Below are 22,762 nucleotides of genomic sequence, written 5' to 3'. Positions count from 1 at the left end.
ACAGAGCGAGACTCTGTCTCAACAAAAAAAAAAAAAAAAAAAAGGACAAAGTTGGTCAAAGTTGTCAAAAACCAAAGCCCAGCTCTACGCTGGTTATTAGAGACACATCCAAAACATAAATATTCAGAAAGATGACAGTTAGAAAAGGATAATTTTATGCTTACCTAATAAATAATAAATACATATTATATATACATACACATATGCATAAATGAAATAGAAACTCTAATAGACGAACCCTAATCACAGTGGCAGATTTTAACAAAACACTAGAAATAACTGATAGATACAACAGACAAAAAGTCAGTAAAAACAGAATATTTAGATACTAAATTAAGCTTGATCTAATGGCTGCATATAGAACAATGCACTCAATTCAAATAACATTCTTCTCAATCATATATGGAAGATTTTGAAAAACTGACCACCCTGGACCTTAACAAAAGAGAAAAACATTTTGCATGAATGAATACATACTAAGAAAACGATGCACATTAACACGACTGCCTTATGGGCGGGGGGAGGATGCGGGTAGTAAATGGCATAGAAGACAGGGAATAAACAAATAATCTGAAGAGTGGCCTTGCTCACACCATTGATAACATGAGTACTCCCAGATCCTACCATGGGAAAAAGAAAAGGAAAACTGATATATTTTATGAGGCTAGACCAGAGGTCAGCAAACTTTTTTTGTCAAGGGCCAAATAGTAAGTATCTTAGGCTCTGTGGGACATACCATCTCTGCTGCAACTCCTCAACTCTGCCATGCAGCACAGAAGCAGCCATAGATGTTACATAAATGGATGAATGTGGTTATGTTCCAATAAAGCTTTATTCATGAACACTAAAATTTGAATTTCATATAATTTCCATGTGTCATAAAATATAATTCTTTTGATTATTTCCCCCAACCATTTAAAAATGTAGAAAACAATCTTGGTTCACAGGCCAAGGCCACAGTTCTCCTGGGATAGAGTAACTTGTATAAAGACATTATGAAGAATTGAAATTACTGGCCAGTCTTACACATGCCACAGATTTAAAATTCTAAGCAAGTTATTAGCAAACTGAATCCAGTAATATGTAAAAATTCATCACACATCATGGCTAAGTTAGGTTTTTCCCAATAAAGGTGTACATGATACTGGAAATAAATTAAAATTATTAGGCACGTTAACAGATTAAAGAGAAAACACTTAGGATCATTTCTTTTCTTTTCTTTTTCTTTTTGAGATGGAATTTTGCTCTTGTCACCCAGGCTGGAGTGCAATGGCGCGATCCTGGCTCACTGAAACCTCTGCCTCCCAGGTTCAAGCGATTCTCCTGCCTCAGCCTTCCAAATAGCTAGGATTACAGGCACCTGCCACCTCGCTCGGCTAATTTTTTGTTGTTGTATTTTTAGTAGAGATGGGGTTTCACCATGTTGGCCAGGCTGGTCTCGAATTCCTGATCTCAGGTGATCTGCTCGACTAAGCCTCCCAAAGTGCTGGGATTACAAGCATGAGCCACCACACCTGACCAATCAATTCAATGGATGCAGAAAAGGCATTTTAAAAATGCAATATTCCTTCATGATAAAAACTCAAGAGCGAATTAGCAATAAAAAGCAACGTCCCTAACCTGATAAAGGACACCTACAAAAAAAACAAGTGCAAACATAAGTAAAAGTGAAGTATCTAAAACTGTGAATAAGACAGGGTGCCCATATTCACCATTCAAAACTGTTCTGGGAGGTGGAGCCAGTGCAGCAAGATAAGAATTAAAATAAAGGTTAAAAAAGAAGAAAAGAAATCAATACTAATAGACAAAGACAATTATTTACAACCAAAAAGTATCTTTATTCATCAATGATATGATCAAGTTGGATGACCCCACATCCAAAAGAATCTACAAGACGTCAGAATAAATAAGAGTTAAGCAAGGTGGGGGGATATAAAATCAATATCTCAAAATCAACTGCAATAATCTGTCATAGGAGTTTTAAGAAAAAAAAAAATCAATGGCAAGTCTATATACCAGAAACAATGAGAAAATTATATTTTATTTTATTTACTTTTTTTTTTGAGACTGGGTCTTGCTCTGTCACCCAGGCTGGAGTGTAGTGGCATAATCATAGCTCACCGCAGCCTCATCCTCCTGGGCTTGAGTGATTCTCCTACCTCAGCCTACCAAGTAGCTGGGACTACAGGCATGCACCATCATGCCTGGCTAATTTTTTATTTATAGTAGAGATGGGGTCTCACTATGTTGCCCAGGCTGGTCTCAAACTGCTGGGCTTAAGTGATTCGCCTGCCTCGGTCTCCTTACGTGTTGGGGTTACAGGCGTGAGTCACAGCACCCAGTCTATATTCTAAAGTTAATGTCATCTAAGAAAAACACAAAATATAAAAATACCTGGAAATAAAATTAACAAAAGATGTGTAAGACTCTAATTATAAAATATTTATTGAAAACCATTCCACAAGACTCAAGTAAGCAGAGTTATTTAGAGGCAGAGGAAGACTCAATACCGTAAAAATGTCAACTTTCCCCAAATTGATCGAAGGTTTAATGCATTATAAATCATTATCCCAACTGGATTTCTACAGAAATTGATAAGCCAATTCTAAAATGTATATGAAGCCAAAACCTAGGAACAGCTAAGACCTTTCTAGAGAACAGGACCATAGTAGAGGCATGTGACTTACCAAATATCAGACATTACTAGAAAGCAGTCTTTAGGCAGTATGGTTTAAATAGACAAACGGACGGACAGATTAGAAAGGAGAGCCCAGAATAGACAAACATATACATAGGGAAACTTAATTTATGACAGAACTGCCACTGAAGTACATAGAAAGGAGGACTGTGTAGTAAGGAATGTGGCCTCCAAAAAGAGGTCTGGCCTTTGTCCCAGCTCTTGGGAAGCAACCTCTAAACATTTTGAATTTCCTGAGTGATAGGAATGTCTTTGTTATTTATGGTGAGCCCCTAAGACCACGTCTGTTAGTTTATGCTCATGAGATGACTAGGGCTTGGGGCTGGCCACACCTACTTCTACCATGTAATCGGTCTTGGGACTTTGAGCCGTGTGGTATCAGCTTGACTTTCAGGCAAGGAGGGAGGACAGATGCTGGAAACTGAGTTCGTGCACATGGAAAATGATTCAATCAATGATGCCTATGTAATGAAGCTTCAGTAAAAACTGGGCACTGAAGCTTGAGTGAGCTTCTCTGGTTGACAATACTCTGGGTGTACTGCCAAACATCAATACTGGGAGGGTAATACAACCCAATGTATCCTTTCCCTGTTATAAATATGACTGTGAATATAACAGCTTTCATTGAGTTCTGTGAGGCTTTCTACTGAATTATTATACCTAAGGGTGGTGGTGGTGGAAATACCTGAATTTGTAGCTAGCTGGTCTAAAGTGAGAGTGGTCATGGGAACCTCTTAAGTTGTAGCTGGTGTCTGAGTGACGGCATCTTGTAGGGACTGTTCCCTCAGACCTTGCAGTTTGCCTAATCCTTTACAATGGCCTTTTCAATAAATGATGTTTCAGATATTATCCAAATGGAAATACCACACCCTACAATTAATTCCAAGTGAATTGAAGACTTAAACATTAAAGGCAAAATAATATCATTTATAGAAAATAGGGATAATATCTTTACTCTTAGGAGAGGAGAGATTTCATACACAAGATGTAAATAAATTAAAGAAAACAGCATTAAATTTGAAGGCATTAAAATTGAGAATATCTACCATCATTTAAAGGTTAAAGTAAGAAAGCATGCACAGCACATATAACCGGCAAGGACGACAATCCACAATATTTAAGAAATGCATACAAAGCATTAAAAGGAACAAAAACTCTGGAAATATAAAAATCAATAGAAAAATTAGAAATGACATAAAATTGTACTTCAGAAAAGAGAAAACATGAATGCCAATGAGCATGAAAGTTGCGGGGGTGGGGGGCTCAACCTCATTTAGTACCAAAATATGCAAATTTGAAATCAAAATAATACATATCAACTCATACCCAAGTGCGTAAAAATTTAAAATTTAATAATACCAAGTGTTGGTGAGGATACGAAGTAAAAGGAATAGTAAATGAGTATAATAAACACTTTAGAAAACAACTGGGCAATGTTGAGTAAGGCTGAAAATGCATATAACCTATGAGCTAGCAATTCCTTTTTTAGTTACATACAGAAATTCTTGCACAGGATACAAAAAGAGGAGTTCAAGAATGTTCACTGGAGTAATGTACACAATATAAATGAAAAAATGTATTCTTACAATGGATGGCTATACAGTAGGATAAGTTTGCAATGTGAATGGATCTCTTGAACACTCGTTGGAGGACAAGTAATAGAGTTGCAGAAAAATCCAAACAGTATGATTTCTTGACATCAAATTAGAACAGGAAAATAAACACATATGGTTAAGACTGTAAAGAAAAACAAGGAAATGCCAAACACAAGATTCGGAATAACAGATACCTCTGACAGCTAAAGAAGGGGATTTAGATTGGGAAGATCAAAGCACACATGGGATTTCTAACATTAGCATTCTACCTCTTAACATGGGTGTTCAGTCCCCCTTAATATATTACACATGTTCTACTATTCAATATTTAATAAAAAGCAGTTTTAAAAAGACAGTTAAAGGCCAGGTGCGGTGGTTCACACCTGTAATCCCAGCACTTTGGGAGGCCAAGGCAGGCGGATCACCTGAGGTCGGGAGTTTGAGACCAGCCTGACCAACATGGAGAAACCCCGTCTCTATAAAAAACACTAAATTAGCTGGGTGTGGTGACACATGCCTGTAATCCCAGCTACTCGGGAGGCTGAGGCAGGAGAATCACTTCAACTCGGGAGGCAGAGGTTGCGGTGAGCTGAGATCGCGCCATTGCACTCCAGCCTGGGCAACAAGGGCAAAACTCCATCTCAAAAAAAAAAAAAAAAAAGATAGTTACAATATAGTATGAAAACGACTATAAGAGATACAGCAATTGAGACCAAGCGCAACCATGAGACTGACACAGGTTTCATAGATGCTGTTCTTGACTAGGTTCAGTAGAACCCAGAGAAAGGGGTGGTGAGGGATAAATGCCCTTCTTGTGTTTCTTGCACAATGGACGCATGAGATAGACTGTGCAATCTGGGAACTGCTAGTAGTTTAACACGACTAGTGTAAAGTCAGAGAGAGAGCAGAGAGACGAGGCTGAAAAGAAGGATCAATCCTGAGACATTTAAACTTGTTCTCACAGATGAAATAATTAACTGAGGGGTTTTTAAGCAGGATACGTTGCCTCCCATTAAAAGAAGAATCTTGCTATAGGAAATAAGAAAATAGTGACCTACTCAGATTGAGGGGTGTGGGGAAAGTTTCACGTAACGTGTGGAAGATTAACTGGGACTTAGAAAAGGAACAGAATTCCAACAAGCAGAAAACACACTGAACAGCACTCCAAGTAGAGAGAGCAGAAGATGGAGGTAAGAAGGGAGACCAATTGCACCCTGTGTTTCTGAGGAGCAGAAAGTTAACTGGGATAGCTGATGAGGGGTTCTGAGGGAGGAGTAGAGAGAAGTGATGTTGGAGAACTCCACAGGAATCAGGGCAGGAAATGTTTTGAATGACAGGTTATACCTGCCAGGACTAAACACATCATCTTTGCTCACCACTTTACTCCAACATTAGGCTTTGTGCTCTGCTAAATACAGAATATGCTTTTTAGTAAATATGCAATGAACGTGAAAGAGTTGGAGATTTATCCTGAAAGTACCAGGGATTCACTGAACAAAATTCAAAAGGTGACATTACTGGATTATCTTATTGGCAAAGAGTAAAAGTGGAGCCAGGGAGCCCAATCAGTTCAATGTAGTATCTACTCCCACAAGGCAAAAGACAGTGGAGTGAGGCCCTAGGGCATAAGCTCACAGAACAGGAAAAGAAAAGAAGCAATGAAATTGGGCACTTCACTGGATGTTGGGGAGACCAGAAGGTAGGAGCTGGGGGACCCCAGGTTGCCAGTGTAAGTGCAGGTGAATTTCCATTATCATCACATTCCCCAAACTGAAATTATGAGGAAGCCCATGGTCACAGAGCTAGCAAATGGCAGAAATGGGCTAAGATTCTACCCTTTCATCACAATGCACAGCCTCCCATTAGCAGGGACAAAGGGCAATTAATATTTTCAGGACAGAAGATACAGGGAGAAATAGACAATGAAGGGTTGAAGTGCAAGGGGAACTGAAGCTTCCTCCCCACCAGTGTGCAGGGCATGGACGGGGAGGGTGTGGTGATCTTCTGATAATCTTAGGAAGGTTTTGGCCTCTACAGTAATGGGAAGAGAAATTCAACAAATTCTTACAGAATTCTGAAGAAAAATCAAAGAGAAAGAAACTGATTAATTCAGAATAGAAAATATGTTTCTTTAGTCTTAGAGTGAAAGTAATTCTTGAGGACTGGCCAGAATTAATGAAGTAAGTGCTACATCCAGACATATCCAGGACAAAAAACAAAACAAAACAAAACAAAAAAACCTTAAATTTCACATCCTACAAATACCATGCCACTCTTTAAAATATATTACTCCAAAGTTGCATAAAAAATCTAAATAAACACTCCAAATTTGGAATTTTATAGCCAACATTCTCTGGTGAGATATCACAGGAGACACCTTAAAGACTAGATTGTTTGGATAAAAGACAGAAAGTATTTTAGGAAAATATAAAAGTAACTATTCTATTTTTGTGGTAAGAAAGACCATCTGGCACAGCAAAAAGGGAAAAATTTTAAGAAAAGAGTTGATTTATCTGAATACATTTATGAAAACTAAATGAATCTAAAAGCACACAAAATAGATTAACTGTGAAAAAATATTTCTAAAACAACGTATAAATGACAAAGAGAAAATATGCTGAACATATGAAATGTTGTTTAAAATAAATTAAAAAATAGCATTCTTTGACAAGTGGGCAAAGGAAGTCAGTAGGTGATGTAGAAACCCCAGCTCTACCCTTTCTTTTTTTTTCTTAGACGGAGTTTTGCTCTTGTTGCCCAGGCTGGAGTGCAATGGCGCAATCTTGGCTCACCACAACCTCTACCTCCCAGGTTCAGCCGATTCTCCTGCCTCAGCCTCCCGAGTAGCTGGGATTACAGGCATGCGCCACCACATCTGGCTAATTTTGTATTTTTAGTAGAGATGGGGTTTCTCCATGTTGGTCAGGCTGGTCTTGAACTCTCGACCTCAGGTGATCCGCCCGCCTTGGCCTCCCAAAGTGCTGGGATTACAGGCATGAGCCACCGCACCCGGCCAGCTCTACCATTTTTAACTGCGTAACTTTGAGGCGAGTGACTTGATTTCCTCAGTTGTCAACTTAGAATAATACTCTATTTCATTGAGTCTGAGATGTCACTGATAATAAGGCCCTTATAACTTTATATACTAGGAAAGAAAAAAAAATGCCATCAATGAAACTATGACTTGCCAAGAATTTTTGTAAACCCCATTTTGATTTCAGAGAGATTAAAATGTGAGAAAAAGTACATCAGAGAATTAATGAAATATAGTCATACCTGTCTAATAGGGTTGTTATGTGGATTAAACAAGATCACATCTGTAAAGAAAGTCCAACTATAAGTGGCTCAAAGTGCATGCTCAATAAGTTAGCTACTTCTGTTAGTAGTATGAACCCACTCTGAAAAAAAAAAATCACATGACTACACATATAAGCAGACAAAATAATCTGAAAACATTAATAGTGACCATCTGGATAGTGGGACCACGGATGGGGTGACTTAAACTTTCTTTGTGACTCCCTCAAATTTTGAAACTTTTGCAAAAATTGTATATCACTTTAATCATAAGAGGGCATTCAGGTTATTTCTATCTTGAAAAACTATCCGGAGATAAAGTGGACAGGTAGGCATTCCAGGTTATAAGAAATTGAGGCCAGGCGTGGTGGCTTACGCCTGTAATTCCAGCACTTTGGGAGGCCGAGGCAGGGAGATCACAAGGTCAGGAGTAGGAGACCAGCCTGACCAACATGGTGAAACCCCATCTCTACTAAAAACACAAAAACTAGCTGGGCATGGTGGCGCACGCCTGTAATCCCAGCTACTCAGGAGGTTGAGGCAGAAGAATTGCTTGAACCAGGGAGGCAGAGGTTGCAGCGAGCTCAGATCACGCTCAGATCACACCACTGCACTCCAGCCTGAGTGACAGAGCAAGACTCTGTCTCAAAAAAAAAAAAAAAAAAAAAGTCTTGGCGCGGTGGCTCACGCCTGCTGCCAGCACTTTGGGAGGCCAAGGCAGGCAGATCACAAAGTCAAGAGACTGCGACTATCCTGGCCAACATGGTGAAACCCTGTCTCTACTAAAAATAGAAAAATTAGCTGGGCGTGGTGGCATGCGCCTGTAGTCCCAGCTACTCGCAAGGCTGAGGCAGGAGAATCGCTTGAACCTGGGAGGCGGAGGTTGCAGTGAGCTGAGATAACACCACTGCACTCCTAACTGGCGACAGAGCAAGGCTCCATTGGGAGGCCTAGGCGGGCGGATCACGAGGTCAGGAGATCGAGACCATCCTGGCCAACACAGTGAAACCCCATCTCTACTAAAAATACAAAAAATTAGCCGGGCGTGGTGGCACGTGCCTGTAATCCCGGCTACTCAGGAGGCTGAGGCAGTAGAATCGCTTGAACCTGGGAGGCGGAGGTTGCAGTGAGCCGAGATTGTGCCATTGCACTCCAGCCTGGGCAACAGAGGAAACTCGGTCTCAAAAAAAAAAAAAAGAAAGAAAGAAAGAAATTGATAAGCGGGCCGTGCAAGATGGCTCTCGCCTGTAATCCCAGCACTTTGGGAGGCCGAGGCAGGTGGATTGCCTGAGTTAAGGAGTTCGAGATCAGCCTGGGCAAGATGGCAAAACCCCGTCTCTACTAAAAATACAAAAATTAGCTGGGCGTGGTGGTGTGTGCCTGTAATCTCGGCTACTCAGGAGGCTGAGGCAGAAGAATCACTAGAACCGAGGAGGCGGAGGTTGCAGTGAGCTGAGATCACACCACTGCACTCCAGCCTGGGCAACAGAACGAGACTCTGTCTCAAAAAAAAAAAAAAAAAATTGGTAAGCAAAAAGGCTATTGCATATGATCATGGAGGGGACAATGCAGAAATCAGTGAGACTGAAAAAGCTAATTCTGTTGTTCAATTTCCCTGCCAAATCACTGAGGCATGTTCTCTGTCAACACTGTTGTGAGCATGAATAAAATCCAGGGAAGTGGAAATTCTAGATCAGATGAGACAATGTTTGCAAAATAGACAGCCCTAGGCTGCTTTAGGAAAATGCTACATAAATGCAGTTTCCTCCCCTCTTCCCCTTTGTCCAAATCATGAATGTAAATATTTTAGATAAATTTCTGAAATAGGACACTGTCCTGAAAACCAGTAAGTCCTTTCCAAGAAAATGTCAAATGCAACTTACCTCCGCCATCACTTCAGACGCACAGCAGTTCTCTCCTCTTCTGGGTTCTTAAAGAAAGATGTGGAAAAACGTTAAGAAGCCATCCTGAATCCCTCCCTGAACCCCTTGGGAGGCCAAACTCCTGCCCCACCCCAGGCACTGAAAGGGAGACCAAAGAAGCTGCAACGCCACCGCTCTCTGTCATCCTCACAAAGAAATGCAGGTGACCTTAGGAGCCCAGAGAGAAGTCCTGGGAGAGCCCCCCAGACCGTAGCCCTCTTCCTCCATAACAGCCTAACTTGGGAAACTTTCAGGCCTAGCGTCTTACACTGAGCCCAAAAGTCTGTGGCGCCAAGACACAGCTTAAATGGACCCACCTGTCAGGGTCTCAAACTGCTGTCCTTTAGGCTGGGGGCACCTTTATGGGTCTAGATCCCTGGTGGCTACTGGGTGAAAGAACAGAGAAGTGGATATAGCAGGGACTTCCCAGCCCCAAACTCTAGAACCATTTCCACCCTCAACACACACCAGAGATAGACCCGATGGAGGGAAGGCCATTCACAGAGATTCACTACCTACTGACTAGTCTCAGTTGGGGTTTGCGTAGACGGCCAGGACCCATCCACAGGGCAGACCCCGCCCAGCGTATCCCCAGAATGTACAGCGAGGGTGTCCCGCCCCCTCCCAGGCCTCCCAAAGATGGGGTCGATGACCCGGCACACGCTCACACTTACATGCACAGCCACACAGAATACCGTGCAGACAGGACTCCCACCACAGCCCCGCAGGCACAGCGGGCACAGATCGCCAAGCACCTGTCGCTGGGCCCACAATCCAGGTCCGGGGAGAACTGCCCGGACTTTTAGTCCAGACAAGAGGACGCAGGGCCGCGATACCCTAGACCTCCTAACATTCCCAGACCGCTCCAGCGCCAGCCTCACACCACACCCACTCCCTGCCTGCGCGCGGCCCGACACTGCCCTCTGCCGAGCTGGGGGCCAGTGGCCCTGACACCCTTCTCCCATCCCGACTGCACCGCCCCGACACTCTCTTCCTTCCCCATCGCACAGCCCTGACCTCCCCTAGCGGTGAAGCGTGGGCATGCAGCCCGCACATCTCCGAGAGCCACCTGTCTTTTAAACTCCAGACGACCCCAGCTCCTCGCCGGGACGCCTCACCGCCCCCTTCGGCGTCCTAGCACTCAGGTCTGAACGAGTCCATCCCAACCCAGCGAGCTCCGCAGCCCGGGACGTTCCAGCCCTTTGCTTTCCAACACCCGCCAAGGAAAGGTGACTAGCCTTCTTCGGCCGGAAAAGGTTGGCCGCGGGGCCCCCTGGGAAATGTAGTCCAGAGGTGGGTGCGCCACCCGGGGCCTGGACCGCACCACGGTCACTGGCGCTCACAGTCATGTCCAGTTCCCCGCCTCCAGTGAAGCCGAGGCCAGACTGCCCAGCTGCACCCGAGCACCCTCCCAGGAACTGGGCAAACACACAGGCCCAGGCAGCAATAGTTGGCCGCTGACGGCTAGAAAAAGGCTGTGGGGCCGTGGAGGCTTCAGAAAAATGTAGCCGCAAACCCGGGAAGGGGCGGCCGGGCCCGCCGCCAGGGCTTCCAGAGTCCGCGAAGTTAACCCGGCTGCAGCCGCCCTCGCCCCAAACGGAGGGTCAGGGAGTGGGGTTTGTGTGTGTGCCCAAAGGCCTCTCACAAGTGCTGTAAAAAGCCAGGGAGCGGACCACCCAGGGTACCCTCCACAGGGAGCCGCGCTCTGGGGTGGATCAGGAGAGGGCGACTCCCGGCCACGCCACGAATTAGGAGTCGGCCCGGACCTGGGGCTTCACTGACCTGGGCCACAATCCCGATAAAGCCGGGTGGCTAAGTTTGGGCTGGGAATTCATGCCCCAGTCCAGGTCTTCTGGCATCTCAACATTTAAGTCACTAATTTCTGCTCGGGCCGGGCCACAGGCTGGCCTGGAGGGTGTCTGGGAAACGACCTGTCCTAGAGGTTTGGGGATGTGGCCTAGGAGAGACTGAAGGGGCGCAGTCACAGGCTCAGGATGCCGAAGGGACTGGAGAAGGATGAGGGATAGTTGGGTCTGCAGCGGAAATAACGGAAAACCAATATAGTGGGCTGCAACGTCATTATTTGAGGATTAAGTTGCAGAAGGATATTTAATGACAGAAGTATGTTCGAGAAATACTTTAGGACCTGGAAAAGTGCCACTAAAATAAACCAATTTTAGTAGCACTTTTGTGTTACTAAAAGTGCTACTAAAATAAAAGCACTTTTGTGTTACTAAAAGTGCTACTAAAATAAACCAATTTTTTAAAATAAATACTGTATTTAAAAATGTTATAGGCTGGGCACGGTGGCTCACACCTGTAATCCCAGCACTTTGGGAGGCCAAGGCGGGCGGATCACGAGGTCAAGAGATCAAGACCATCCTGGCCAACATGGTGAAACCCTGTCTCTACTAAAAATACAAAATTTACCTGGGTGTGGTGGCGCGCACCTGTAGTCCCAGCTACTCAGGAGGCTAAGAGAATACCTTGAATCTGGGAGGCGGAGGTTGCAGTGAGCCGAGACTGTACCACTGCACTCCAGCCTGGTGACAGTGAGACTTCATCTCAAAAAAAAAAAAAAGTTATAAATAGGTCAGGCGCAGTGGCTCGCGCCTGTAATCCTAGCACTTTGGGAGGCCGAGGCAGGCAGATCACAAGGTCAGGAGATCGAGACCATCCTGGCCAACATGGTGAAACCTCGTCTCTCCTAAAAATACAAAAATTAGCCTGGCGTGGTGGTGTGCACCTGTAGTCCCAGCTACTAAGGAGGTGCATTCCAGCCTGGCGATAGAGCGAGACTGCGTCTCAAAAAGAAAAAAAACAAAGTTATAAATAGCAGAAACATAGGCACTTGGGCAATAATATCTTTAAAGTTAATTGTTAACAGCAGTTAACTTCTAGGATGTGTAATTGTGACTTTTTTTCTTTTCAGTTAAAAAGTAGTCCCTTATATTTTTGGCCATTATCGTTTCTTTCTTGTGAAACATTACTTATAACATTTCATTAAAAAAAATTCTTAAGTATTTCTAGTTTACAAACTAGAAAACAAACTACTGGACCAAAATTTAAAAATCCACAGTTTAGTACTAAAAGATAAATGAAACACAAGACTGATATACAAGAGCAAAATAAAGCAAAAACATTAGAAATGCGAAAAAAAAAACATAAAGAGTTTAAGAGTTTTTTTTTTTCTTGAGACGGAGTTTTGCTCTTGTTGCCCAGGCTGGTGTGCAGTGATGCCGTCTCAGCTCACTGCAACCTCTGCCTCCCGGGTTCAAGTGATTCTCCTGCCTCAGCCTCCCAAGTAACTGGGATTACAGGTGCCCGCCTGTATTCTTTGTATTTTTAGTAGAGACGAGGTTTCATCACGTTGGCCAGGCTGGTTTCAAACTCTTGACCTCAGGTGATCCGCCCACCTCAGCCTCCCAAAGTGCTGGGATTACAGGAGTGAGCCACCGTGCCCAGGCCTGGGTTTAAAAGAATTTTGAGGCTGTTATGTACAACTCTATAACCATGGTAGAGGAAACTGTAGATTTTCTAATGAAATTTAAATCACTGATTTCTACTAAGAAGTAGAAAATCTGAACAGAATAATAACCATAATGAAATGCTTTATTTTATTTAAGATATTTTAAAGTATGTACAATTAAAAAGGTACCATACCCAGATGGTTATAGCTGAATTTTAGCTAATTTTTGAACTAATAATGATTATTCAATGTATTTATATCCAACTTATATATGCTCTCCAATGAATTTTTGTCTAAGTGGCATAAAATTTATTAAAGACATGGCCGGGCATGGTGGCTCATACCTGTAATCTCAGCAGTTTGGGAGGCTGAGGCAGGAGCATCACTTTGAGGCTAGGAGTTTGAGACCAGCCTCGGCAACATGGCAAAACCCCCTTTCTACAAAGATTAGCCGGATGTGGTGGCGCACACCTGTACTTCCAGCTACTGGGGAGGCTGAGGCTGGAGGATCACTTGTACCCGGAGGCAGAGGTTGCAGTGAGCCAAGATTGGGGCACTGCACTCCAGCCTGGGCGACAGAGCGAGACTGTCTCCAAAAGAAAGAAAAGAAAAGAAAAGAAATTCAATAAAGACAGGCCAAAAGAAAAGTATTAATTTCATTTGTGGTTATAGATGCAAAAGTTCCAAATAAAAGGCTGATTTCAATAATGTATAAAATTTATATAGTTATGTCAAAGGATTGGGAAAAAAGAAATTCATAAATTATGCCAATAAGACAAAGTGGTAGAATAATGCCCCAAGACGTTCAAATCCTAACCCCCAGAACCTGTGAATATATCTTACATGGCAAAAGAGGCTCTGCAGCAGATATGCTTCAACTAATAATCTTGAGATGGAGGCCAGGCATCGTGGCTCATGCTTGTAATCCAGCACTTTGGGAGGCCGAGGTGGGCGGATCACTTGAGGTAAGGAGTTTGAGATCAGCCTGGACAACGTGGTGAAACCCAGTCTCTACTAAAAATACAAAAATTAGCCAGGCATGATGGTGCATGCCTGTAGTCCTAGGTACTCGGGAGGCAGAGGTTGCAGTGAGCCAAGATCTCGCCACTGCACTCCAGCCTGGGCGGCAGAGTGAGACTTGATCTCAAAAAAAAAAAAAAAAAAAAAAAAAAAAAAATCTTGAGATGGGAAGATTATGCTGGATTACTGAGTAGGCCCAACAAGGGTCCTTAAAAGAGGAAGGCAGGAGGGTCAGAGTCAGAGAGGAAATCATGACAACGAAAGCGGGGATGTGCTTTGAAGACGGAGGAAAGTGCCATAAGCAAAAGAACGCAGGCAGCTTCTAGAAGCTGGAAAAGACAAGGAAATAGATTCTCCCCTAGAACCTAGAGAAAGAACACGGTTTTATGACACCTGGATTTTAGCCCACAGGACTCATTTCACACTTCTGACCTCAGTATCTAGATGAAGAAATCTTCCCTCAGCAGGAAGAGGTTGGGATGACCTGTCATTCATCAAAAAACTATATCCTTGATAAGCCTGTCCTTCCTTGCTTGAGATATTTTCTTTCGCTCTCTTTCAATTAGGATATAGAACTTTTGCATTCCTTCTCCTGAAACTTCCTCTCTTATGGTAACGAATCAGAGAACTGGTTCTTTAGTTCTGTTCCAGTGGGGTCTTTGGGTATGTCCCCAATAAGCTCAGTGCCTTCCCACTTCCTAGGCACATTTACTTCAGTTGTTTATTTTGGCAAGTTTCAAATCTCCAGAAGCATTGAAAGAATACTACAAAGAACTTGTATTGGGGCTGGGTGTGGTGGCTCACACCTGTAATCCCAGCACTTTGGGAGGCTGAGGTGGCTGGATCAGGAGGTCAGGAGATTGAGACCATCTTGGCTAATACCGTGAAAGCCCGTTTCTACTAAAAATACAAAAAATTAGACAGGCATGGTGGCACGTGCCTGTAATCCCACCTACTCAGGAGGCTGAGGCAGGAGAATCGCTTGAACCTAGGAGGCGGAGGTTGCAGTGAGCTGAGATTGTGCCACTGCACTCTTGCCTGGGGGACAGAGCAAGACTCTGAAAAGAAAAAAAAAAAGAACTCATTCATGCTTGTCCCTTAGATTCACAAATTGTCAACAATTTAACAATTTGCCACTTTTGATTCTCTCTCTACCATTTGAAAATAAATTCAAGAATCATTATACTTCAGTACTAAACATGTTTTTTTTTTTTTGAGGCAGTGAGCCAATTTGATCACTTGGCTAAGATGGTAATGGCCACATGTCTCCATTGTAGTTATTTTTCCCCTTTTTAATTGGTAAGTAACCTGAGGGATGATAACTTCAGACCATATGAATCTCCTCTTTTTTAACAATCATATGCATATATATATATATAGTTTTTTTTTTTTTTTGGAGACAGAGTCTTGCTCTGTTGCCAGGCTGGAGTGCAGTGGCGCAATCTCAGGTCACTGCAACCTCTGCCTCCTGGGTCCAAGCTGGGACTCCAGACACCCGCCACCACGCCCGGCTAATTTTTGTATTTTTAGTAGAGATGGGGTTTCACCATGTTGGCCAGGCTGGTCTTGATCTCCTGACTTCGTGATCTACCTGCCTCGGCCTCCCAAAGTGTTGGGATTACAGGTGTGAGCCACTGCACCTGGCCCATATGCATATTTAATATAAGGTATATGTTACATTTTCATGTAAATTAATATGTGTTACTCTCATATAAATTTGTATGTATTTTTCTCATATAAATATGAATCATGAAATTACATTTTATAAGTGGACTTTCTACCATGTATGGATATTATGGTGTACAGTTGACACACATATATACATATTATTCTTCAGTGTTGGATAACTGATCCATGTTATATGCTTTGTAGGACATCTTAGATATTTTATGGGATAATTTCAAATACAACCAAGTTTTTATTTTGTTCCTGGGTTTTCAATTTAGCCCACAAGAAACTACAACACCACTGTTAAGAGATATGCATTTTCATGTTGTTGAGATTCTCCTTCATGCCCAGTGTTCTATTCCAAGCACTAATGGGGCAAAAACACCTATCTTGTAGAGAAAGATGAGATTCTTTACTGTGGACATTATGATCTGCCATGGAGACAGGACCATTGTGATGAAACAACTCATTATGCTTTTGGTTGATGGCAAACTGTCCTGCCTTATGAGACTTTAAGCAGTTGGGTATCATGGAAAGCTTAAGTGTGAAGGTCTTGGTGAATGATGATGGGCTTTTGCCAGAAATGGATGGATGAGAAGCTTTTTAAGCATCAGCAGCCAGCTTCTATGGTCAGTTTGTATCAGTCTGGATACAGTCAGGAAACAGAAACCACAAAGGAATTTTTTGCTTGTTTGTTTTGTTTTTTTTGAGAAGGAGTATTGCTCTGTTGCCTAGGCTGGAGTACAGGGGTGCTATCTCAGCTCACTGTAATATCTGCCTCTCGGGTTCAAGTGATTCTCGTGCCTCAGCCTCCCAAGTAGCTGGGATTACAGGCACCTGCCACCATGCCCAGCTAACTTTTGTATTTAAGTAGAGATGAGGTTTCACCATGTTGGCCAGGCTGGTCTTGAACTCCTGACCTCAGGTGATCCACCCACCTCAGCTTCCCAAAGTGTTGGGATTACAGGCATGAGCCACTGTGCCTGGCCAAAGGAATTTAAACAGAATTATAATATAAAGAATTATTAAGCAATGATAGGACAGAAACTATAGGGCCATGAGGAGGACTCTAAAAGGCCCTTTAGAGCTGAGGGAGAGTACCCAAAAGAAAACATACTTGGAAGGAGGTCTTTCCCAAGGGTGAGTTTCAAACCTCACTGAATGTGGTTGTAGCTCAGTGTGATGCTGGAGAAGTTTGCTACGTTGCCAGGTACTCAAAGAGAGTTGGAGTGGCACTGTAGGCCTTAGGCCTGAGATGCATGGTTTCCACATCAGGACAGCTACAGGAAATTACTCCCCATTGCACAAGCAAGCTACGGCTGATGGCCAGGATGCAGAGGAGTTTGGGTGCCACTGTGAGCATGAGGTCTGGAGCACACGGTCTCTCATGAGAAGGGCCTCAGCAAGGTAGTCTGCCAGGCCCAGGCCAGATATGCAAGATCTCCAAGAGACTGCATGCTCTGGAGCACAGCTGGCGCAGAGCATCGCTGAATATTCTCACATACACACCTCCCACTGATGGACCATGAAGCAAGAGCAAGGAAAAGCAAAATGCTGCAACCTGAGCCAGAAAGACCCCTTCTTCCTTCAATGTCCCTCTTCAATGTCCACACCCTCTACTGACAAAGCTTAATATCACACTCACTGTAAAGGAGAAATGCTTCAAGTTGTCCACTTTCACAGACTGGTGTTGAAAAGGTTAATTTGGAGCTGAGAGGCAATACACTGATAACTGACCTAGTCTAACCCTTTGGGTACTAAGTTTCTACACACTTTTTTATACAAAACTTGAGCTCCTTTACAACAATGAAACAACTCTATTTCTACCTAGCAAGGTACAGCTATCCAAATGAGAAGATGGACCAGGCATGATGGCTCACGCCTGTAATCCCAATACTTTGGGAGACTAAGGCAGGAGGATTGTTTGAGGCCAGGAGTTGGAGACCAGCCTGGGAAACAAAGCAAGACCCCATTTCTTTTTTTCTTTTTGAGACAGAGTCTCTGTTGCCTAGGCTGGAATGCAGTGGTGCAATCTCGGCTCACCGCAACCTCCACCTCCCCAGTTTAAGCGATTCTCGTGTCTCAGCCACCCGAGTAGTTGGGATTACAGGCATGGACAATCACTTCCAACTGATTTTTATATTTTTTAGTAGAGACAGGCTTTCACCATGTTGGCCAGGCTGGTCTTGAACTTCTGACCTCAGGTGATCTGCCTGAGGACCCACCACACGTGGCCTGATTTTTAAATATTAACCTTATATCCTGTAATCAGGCTGGGTGCTATGGCTCACGCCTGTAATCCCAGCACTTTGGGAGGCCGAGGCGGGCAGATCACCTGAGGTCAGGAGTTTGAGACCACCCTGGCCAACATGGTGAAACCTGTCTCTACTAAAAATACAAAAATTAGCTCAGTGTGGCCATGTGCACCTGTAATTCCAGCTAATTGGGAGGCTGAGGCAGGAGAATCGCTTGAACCAGGAGGCAGAGGTTGCAGTGAGCCGAGATCACGCCATTGCACTCCAGCCTGCATGACAGAGCAAGACTCTTAAAAAAAAAAAAAAAAAAAGTCCTTGATCACACACAAAACTGGGGGGATGCCATAATGGTGGAGAAAGCATGAAAGCATTCTGTAAGTCCATGGTTGTGATGCTGGCAGCAGCATTACGGGCAAGAAAAAAAATCTATTCCAGAATATCTGTCCATGCTTATAAGAATGAATCTCTGTCTCATCCATGACAGAACAGGCCCAGTGTATTCGGCCTTCTATAAGGTGGCTAGCTGGTTCCAAAAGGGAATGCTGCTATATCAGGGACTCAATGCTGGTCTCTGCTGTTGACAAAAATCAAGGGAAAAGACTGTGTTGGCTGATTATGTCCCTTTTAAATTAAGGAAGAAAATGCTTTCAAATACCCATTACCCCCAAATATTTTTGCTTGTATCTCACTGGCCATATTTATGATACATGGTTGTCCTCACATGGAAGGCAGACAGGCAAAGAGATAAAAGCATGCCCAACTTGTCCTTTTATAACAGCATGAATCCCACCCATGAGTGTGGAGCTCTCATGAGCTAATCACCTTGTAAAGGTTCCACCTCTTAATACTGTTATAATGGCAACTAAATTTCAACATGAATTTTGGAGGCGACAAATATTCAAACCATAGCAATAATCAAAGATTCCCAAGAAAGTGGGATAACATTTACATGCTTAATGAAAATTTCAAGCCCAGTTGTACAAGTCTTTGTATAGATACAAGTCCCTCTTATAGTACTTGCTTGTCCCCAAAGACTAGTGTCCCAACTAGGAGAGCGCAGAAGATCATTTTTATTTAGAGGTGATGCTCTTCCACCTCTAACACTGGAGGTATCAGTCACCTCAGGGGACATGGTTGTCATCTGCTACAAGCTCCACCACCTCTTGTATCGACTTTCACTTCATTATTTTATGTTTATTTATTTATAAGAGATAAGGTCTCATTCTGTTGCCAAGGCTGGAGTGGTGATCATGGCTCATTGCAGCCCCAACCTCCTGAGCTCAAGGATCCTCCCACCTCAGCCTCCCAAGTAGCTGGGACTACAAGTGTGTGTCACACCGTCCGCCAAATTTTTTAAAAATTTTTTGTAGACACAGGGTCTCACTATGTTGCCCAGGCTGGTCTCGAACTCCTGGGCTCAAGCTATCTTCCCACCCTGGCTTCCCAAAGTGCGAGGATTATAGGCATGAGCCACTATGCCTGGCTCACTTCATTATTTTGACTTAAAGATCAGATAGGCTCAGATGCCTCATAGTTCAGAGAACACTTAATGGGTTATTCTCTGCCTCCAGTACTTGTTTCTTTAAGAGATATTCAGAAACAGCAGAAATCAAGCTTGAGTTCTGGACACCAGGAGATCTTACAAAGTTACTGTCCACTATGTAACAAGAAAGTAATATTTCACAAAGGTTCAGAAGCGAATCTAACAAATGTTTATGTGACTTGGACCCTCCCTCCCTTCCTTCCTTCCTTCCTTCTCTTAGGAGATCTTACAAAGTTACTGTCCACTATGTAACAAGAAAGTAATATTTCACAAACGTTCATAAGCAAATCTAACAAATGTTTATGTGACTTGAATCCTTCCTTCCTTCCTTCCTTCCTGAGATCTTACAAAGTTACTGCCCACTATGTAACAAGAAAGTAATATTTCACAAAGGTTCAGAAGCAAATCTAACAAATGTTTATGTGACTTGAATCCATCCTCCCTTCCTTCCTTCCTCCCTCCCTCCCTCCCTCCGTCCCTCCCCCCACCCTTTCTTTCTTACTTTTTTTGACTGAGTCTCGCTTTGTTGCCAGGCTGGAGTGCAGTGGCACAATCTCGGCTCACTGCAACCTCCACCTCCCAGGTTCAAGCGATTCTTCTGCCTCAGCCTTCTGAGTAGCTGGGACTACAGGCGCATGCCACCATGGCCAGCTAATTTTTGTATTTTTAGTAGAAATGGGGTTTCACCATGTTGGCTAGGATGGTCTCAATCTCTTGACCTCGTGATACGCCTGCCTCAGCCTCCCAAAGTGCTGGGATTACAGCTGTGAGCCACTGTGCCCGGCCAACTTGGGCCTTTCTAATGCATGAAAAGATATTACCAATGTTAAAAAACAACTCTGAAATAGGGCACCAGTCATAGCATAGCCCTCTGCCAAATTCATTTAATAGAGACTGTATTGGGAGTATTTCATAAAACGCTGTTCATATTGCTGTCAGTTGTTAAATTTAGTTACAGGAGAAACAGCAGCTGGTTATATGTTAACACTAAAATGTCTTTAGGACATGGTCATTAATTATGCCCCAGGAGCAGCTGTTGAGGCTTTGCTTTGCCATTTGTTCTGGCACTCTGCCCAAAGCCTAGTGCTGCTGACATTCATCAGTGTTCGTACATAAAATTGCCACTGGGTTAATATTTCCATCATTTATCAAGCTAAGAAAAATGAAGCTACTGAGACTGAATTGACAGGTCTGAAATTAAGAATTTTCATAAAATTCGTATCTCCATATACTACCTAGCCAATCCAATCCTTGGTATTTATCCAAGAGAAATGAAAACATACATCTATACAAATAATTTTTACACAAATATTCATGGTAGCCTTATTCTTGATAGTCCCCAAACTGGAAACAACACAACTATTCATTAACAGGTGATTGTGGTACCATTATTTAGCAATGAAAACCTATTTAATAAAATTATGGATGAAAACTTCCAAAGCCTAACAAGAGATTCAGACATCCAGATACAGAAGGCTCACAATATGCAAGGAGATAAAATGCAAAAAGTTTTTCTCCATGGCACAATTATATTCACATTGTTTCAAGTCAAACAAAGATAAAGAGTGAATCCTTAGAAGAAAAAAAAAGCATCTAGTCACCTATAAAAGAAACCCCATAAGACTAATAGAGGATTTCTAAGCAGAAACCTTATAGGTCAAAAGAAAATGGGATGATATATTTAAAGTGCTAAAAGAAAAAAAGAAAACTAGCCAAGAATGCTACATCAAGCAAAATTATCCTTCATAAACAAAGGAGAAATAGACCTTTCTAGACAAGCAAATGCTAAGGAAATTTGTTACCACTAGACTGGCCTTACAAGAAAAGCTGAAGGCTGGGTGTGGTGGCTCACACCTGTTATCTCAGCACTATGGGAGGTCGAAGCGGGTGGATCACTTGAGGTCAGGAGTTTGAGAATAGCCTGGCCAACATGGTAAAAGACCGTCTCTACTAAAAATACAAAAATTAGCCACGTGTGGTGGAGCATGCCTCTAATCCCAGCTACTTGGGAGGCTGAGGCACGGGAATCACTTGAACCTGAGAGGTGGAGGTTGCAGTGATCCAAGATTACACCACTACATTCCAGCCTGGGTGGCAGAGTGAAACTGTGCCTCAGAAACGAAAAAAAAAAAAAAAGAAAGAAAAGCTCAAGGGGGTCTTAAACCTGGAAGCAAAAAAAAAAAAAAAAAAAAAAACACTGCAACACTTACCATCATGAAAATAAGGTAAACTATAAAACTCACTGGTAAAGCAAACACATAAAGAAGAAAGAGAAAGGACTCACATGGTACTACTACAGAAATCTACCAAGCCACAGTGACAATAAGAAAACAAATTAAAAAAAAAAAAAACATAAAACAACAAAAAAGCCTGGGCATGGTGGTTTAAATCTGTAATCCCAGCACTTTGGAGCCAGAGAGGGGAAGATCATTAGAGCCCAGGAGTTCAAGACTAGCCTGGGCAACACAGTGAAACTCCATCTCTATAAAAATAAAAAAAACATTACCCAGGCATGGTGGTGCATGGGGAGCTACTTGTGGGGCTCAGGTGGGAGGACTGCTTGAGCCCAGAAGTCTCAAAAAAAAAAAAAAACACCCTAACCAATTAACAATATGATAGAGACAAAGCTTCGTATGTGAATAATAACCTTTAGCCAGGTCAGTGGCTCACGCCTGTAATCCCAGCACTTTGGAAGGCTGAGGTGGGAGGATCACCTGAGGTCAGGAGTTTGAGACCAGCCTGGCCAATATGGCACAACCCTATCTCTACTAAAAGTATAAAAATAGCCAGGCGTGCCAGCGCATGCCTGTAATCCTAACTACTCAGGAGGCTGATGCAGAATAGCTTGAACTGAGGAGGCAGAGGTTGCAGTGAGCCAAGAACCCGCCATTGCACTCCAGCCTGGGCAACAGAGTGAGACTCCATCTCATAATAATAATAATAACTTTGAATATAAATGGATTAAATTTCCCACTTAAAAAATAGAGAATGGCTGAATGGATTTTTTTTTTAAAAAGATCCCCAAATATCCTACTTATAAAAAACTCACCTTACTGGTAATGACACATATAGACTGAAAGTAAAAGGATGGAAAAAGATATTCCATGAAAATGGAAACCAAAAGTGAGCAGGAGTAGCTATATTTCTAATAGATTAAAGAGTTTTTAAGTCAAAAAGAGTTAAAAAAAAAAAAAAAGACAAAGAAGGTCATTATATAACCATAAAGTGATTAAACCAGCAGTGGATATAACAATTCTAAATATATATGCAGCCAACACTGAAGTACCCAGATTCATAA

The 22,762-nt window shown here is 42.8% G+C and overlaps 1 protein-coding gene across 3 annotated transcripts in view; it reads right to left on the bottom strand.

Annotated features, from left to right (window-relative positions):
• Window positions 1–22,762, bottom strand: part of ZNF568 (zinc finger protein 568) — an 81,601-nt gene that overhangs the window by 13,996 nt on the left and 44,843 nt on the right. For all 3 annotated transcript variants that reach the window (NM_001204838.2, NM_001204839.2, XM_017026772.2), the window contains one exon: window positions 9,471–9,517. In NM_001204838.2, the coding sequence (NP_001191767.1) occupies window positions 9,471–9,517 (47 nt within the window). The remainder of the gene's footprint in view (window positions 1–9,470; window positions 9,518–22,762) is intronic.

The sequence above is a fragment of the Homo sapiens genome, chromosome 19 (assembly GCF_000001405.40).
Source record: "Homo sapiens chromosome 19, GRCh38.p14 Primary Assembly".
Lineage (NCBI taxonomy): Eukaryota > Metazoa > Chordata > Mammalia > Primates > Hominidae > Homo > Homo sapiens.
This window is presented reverse-complemented; position numbering and strand designations above follow the sequence as displayed.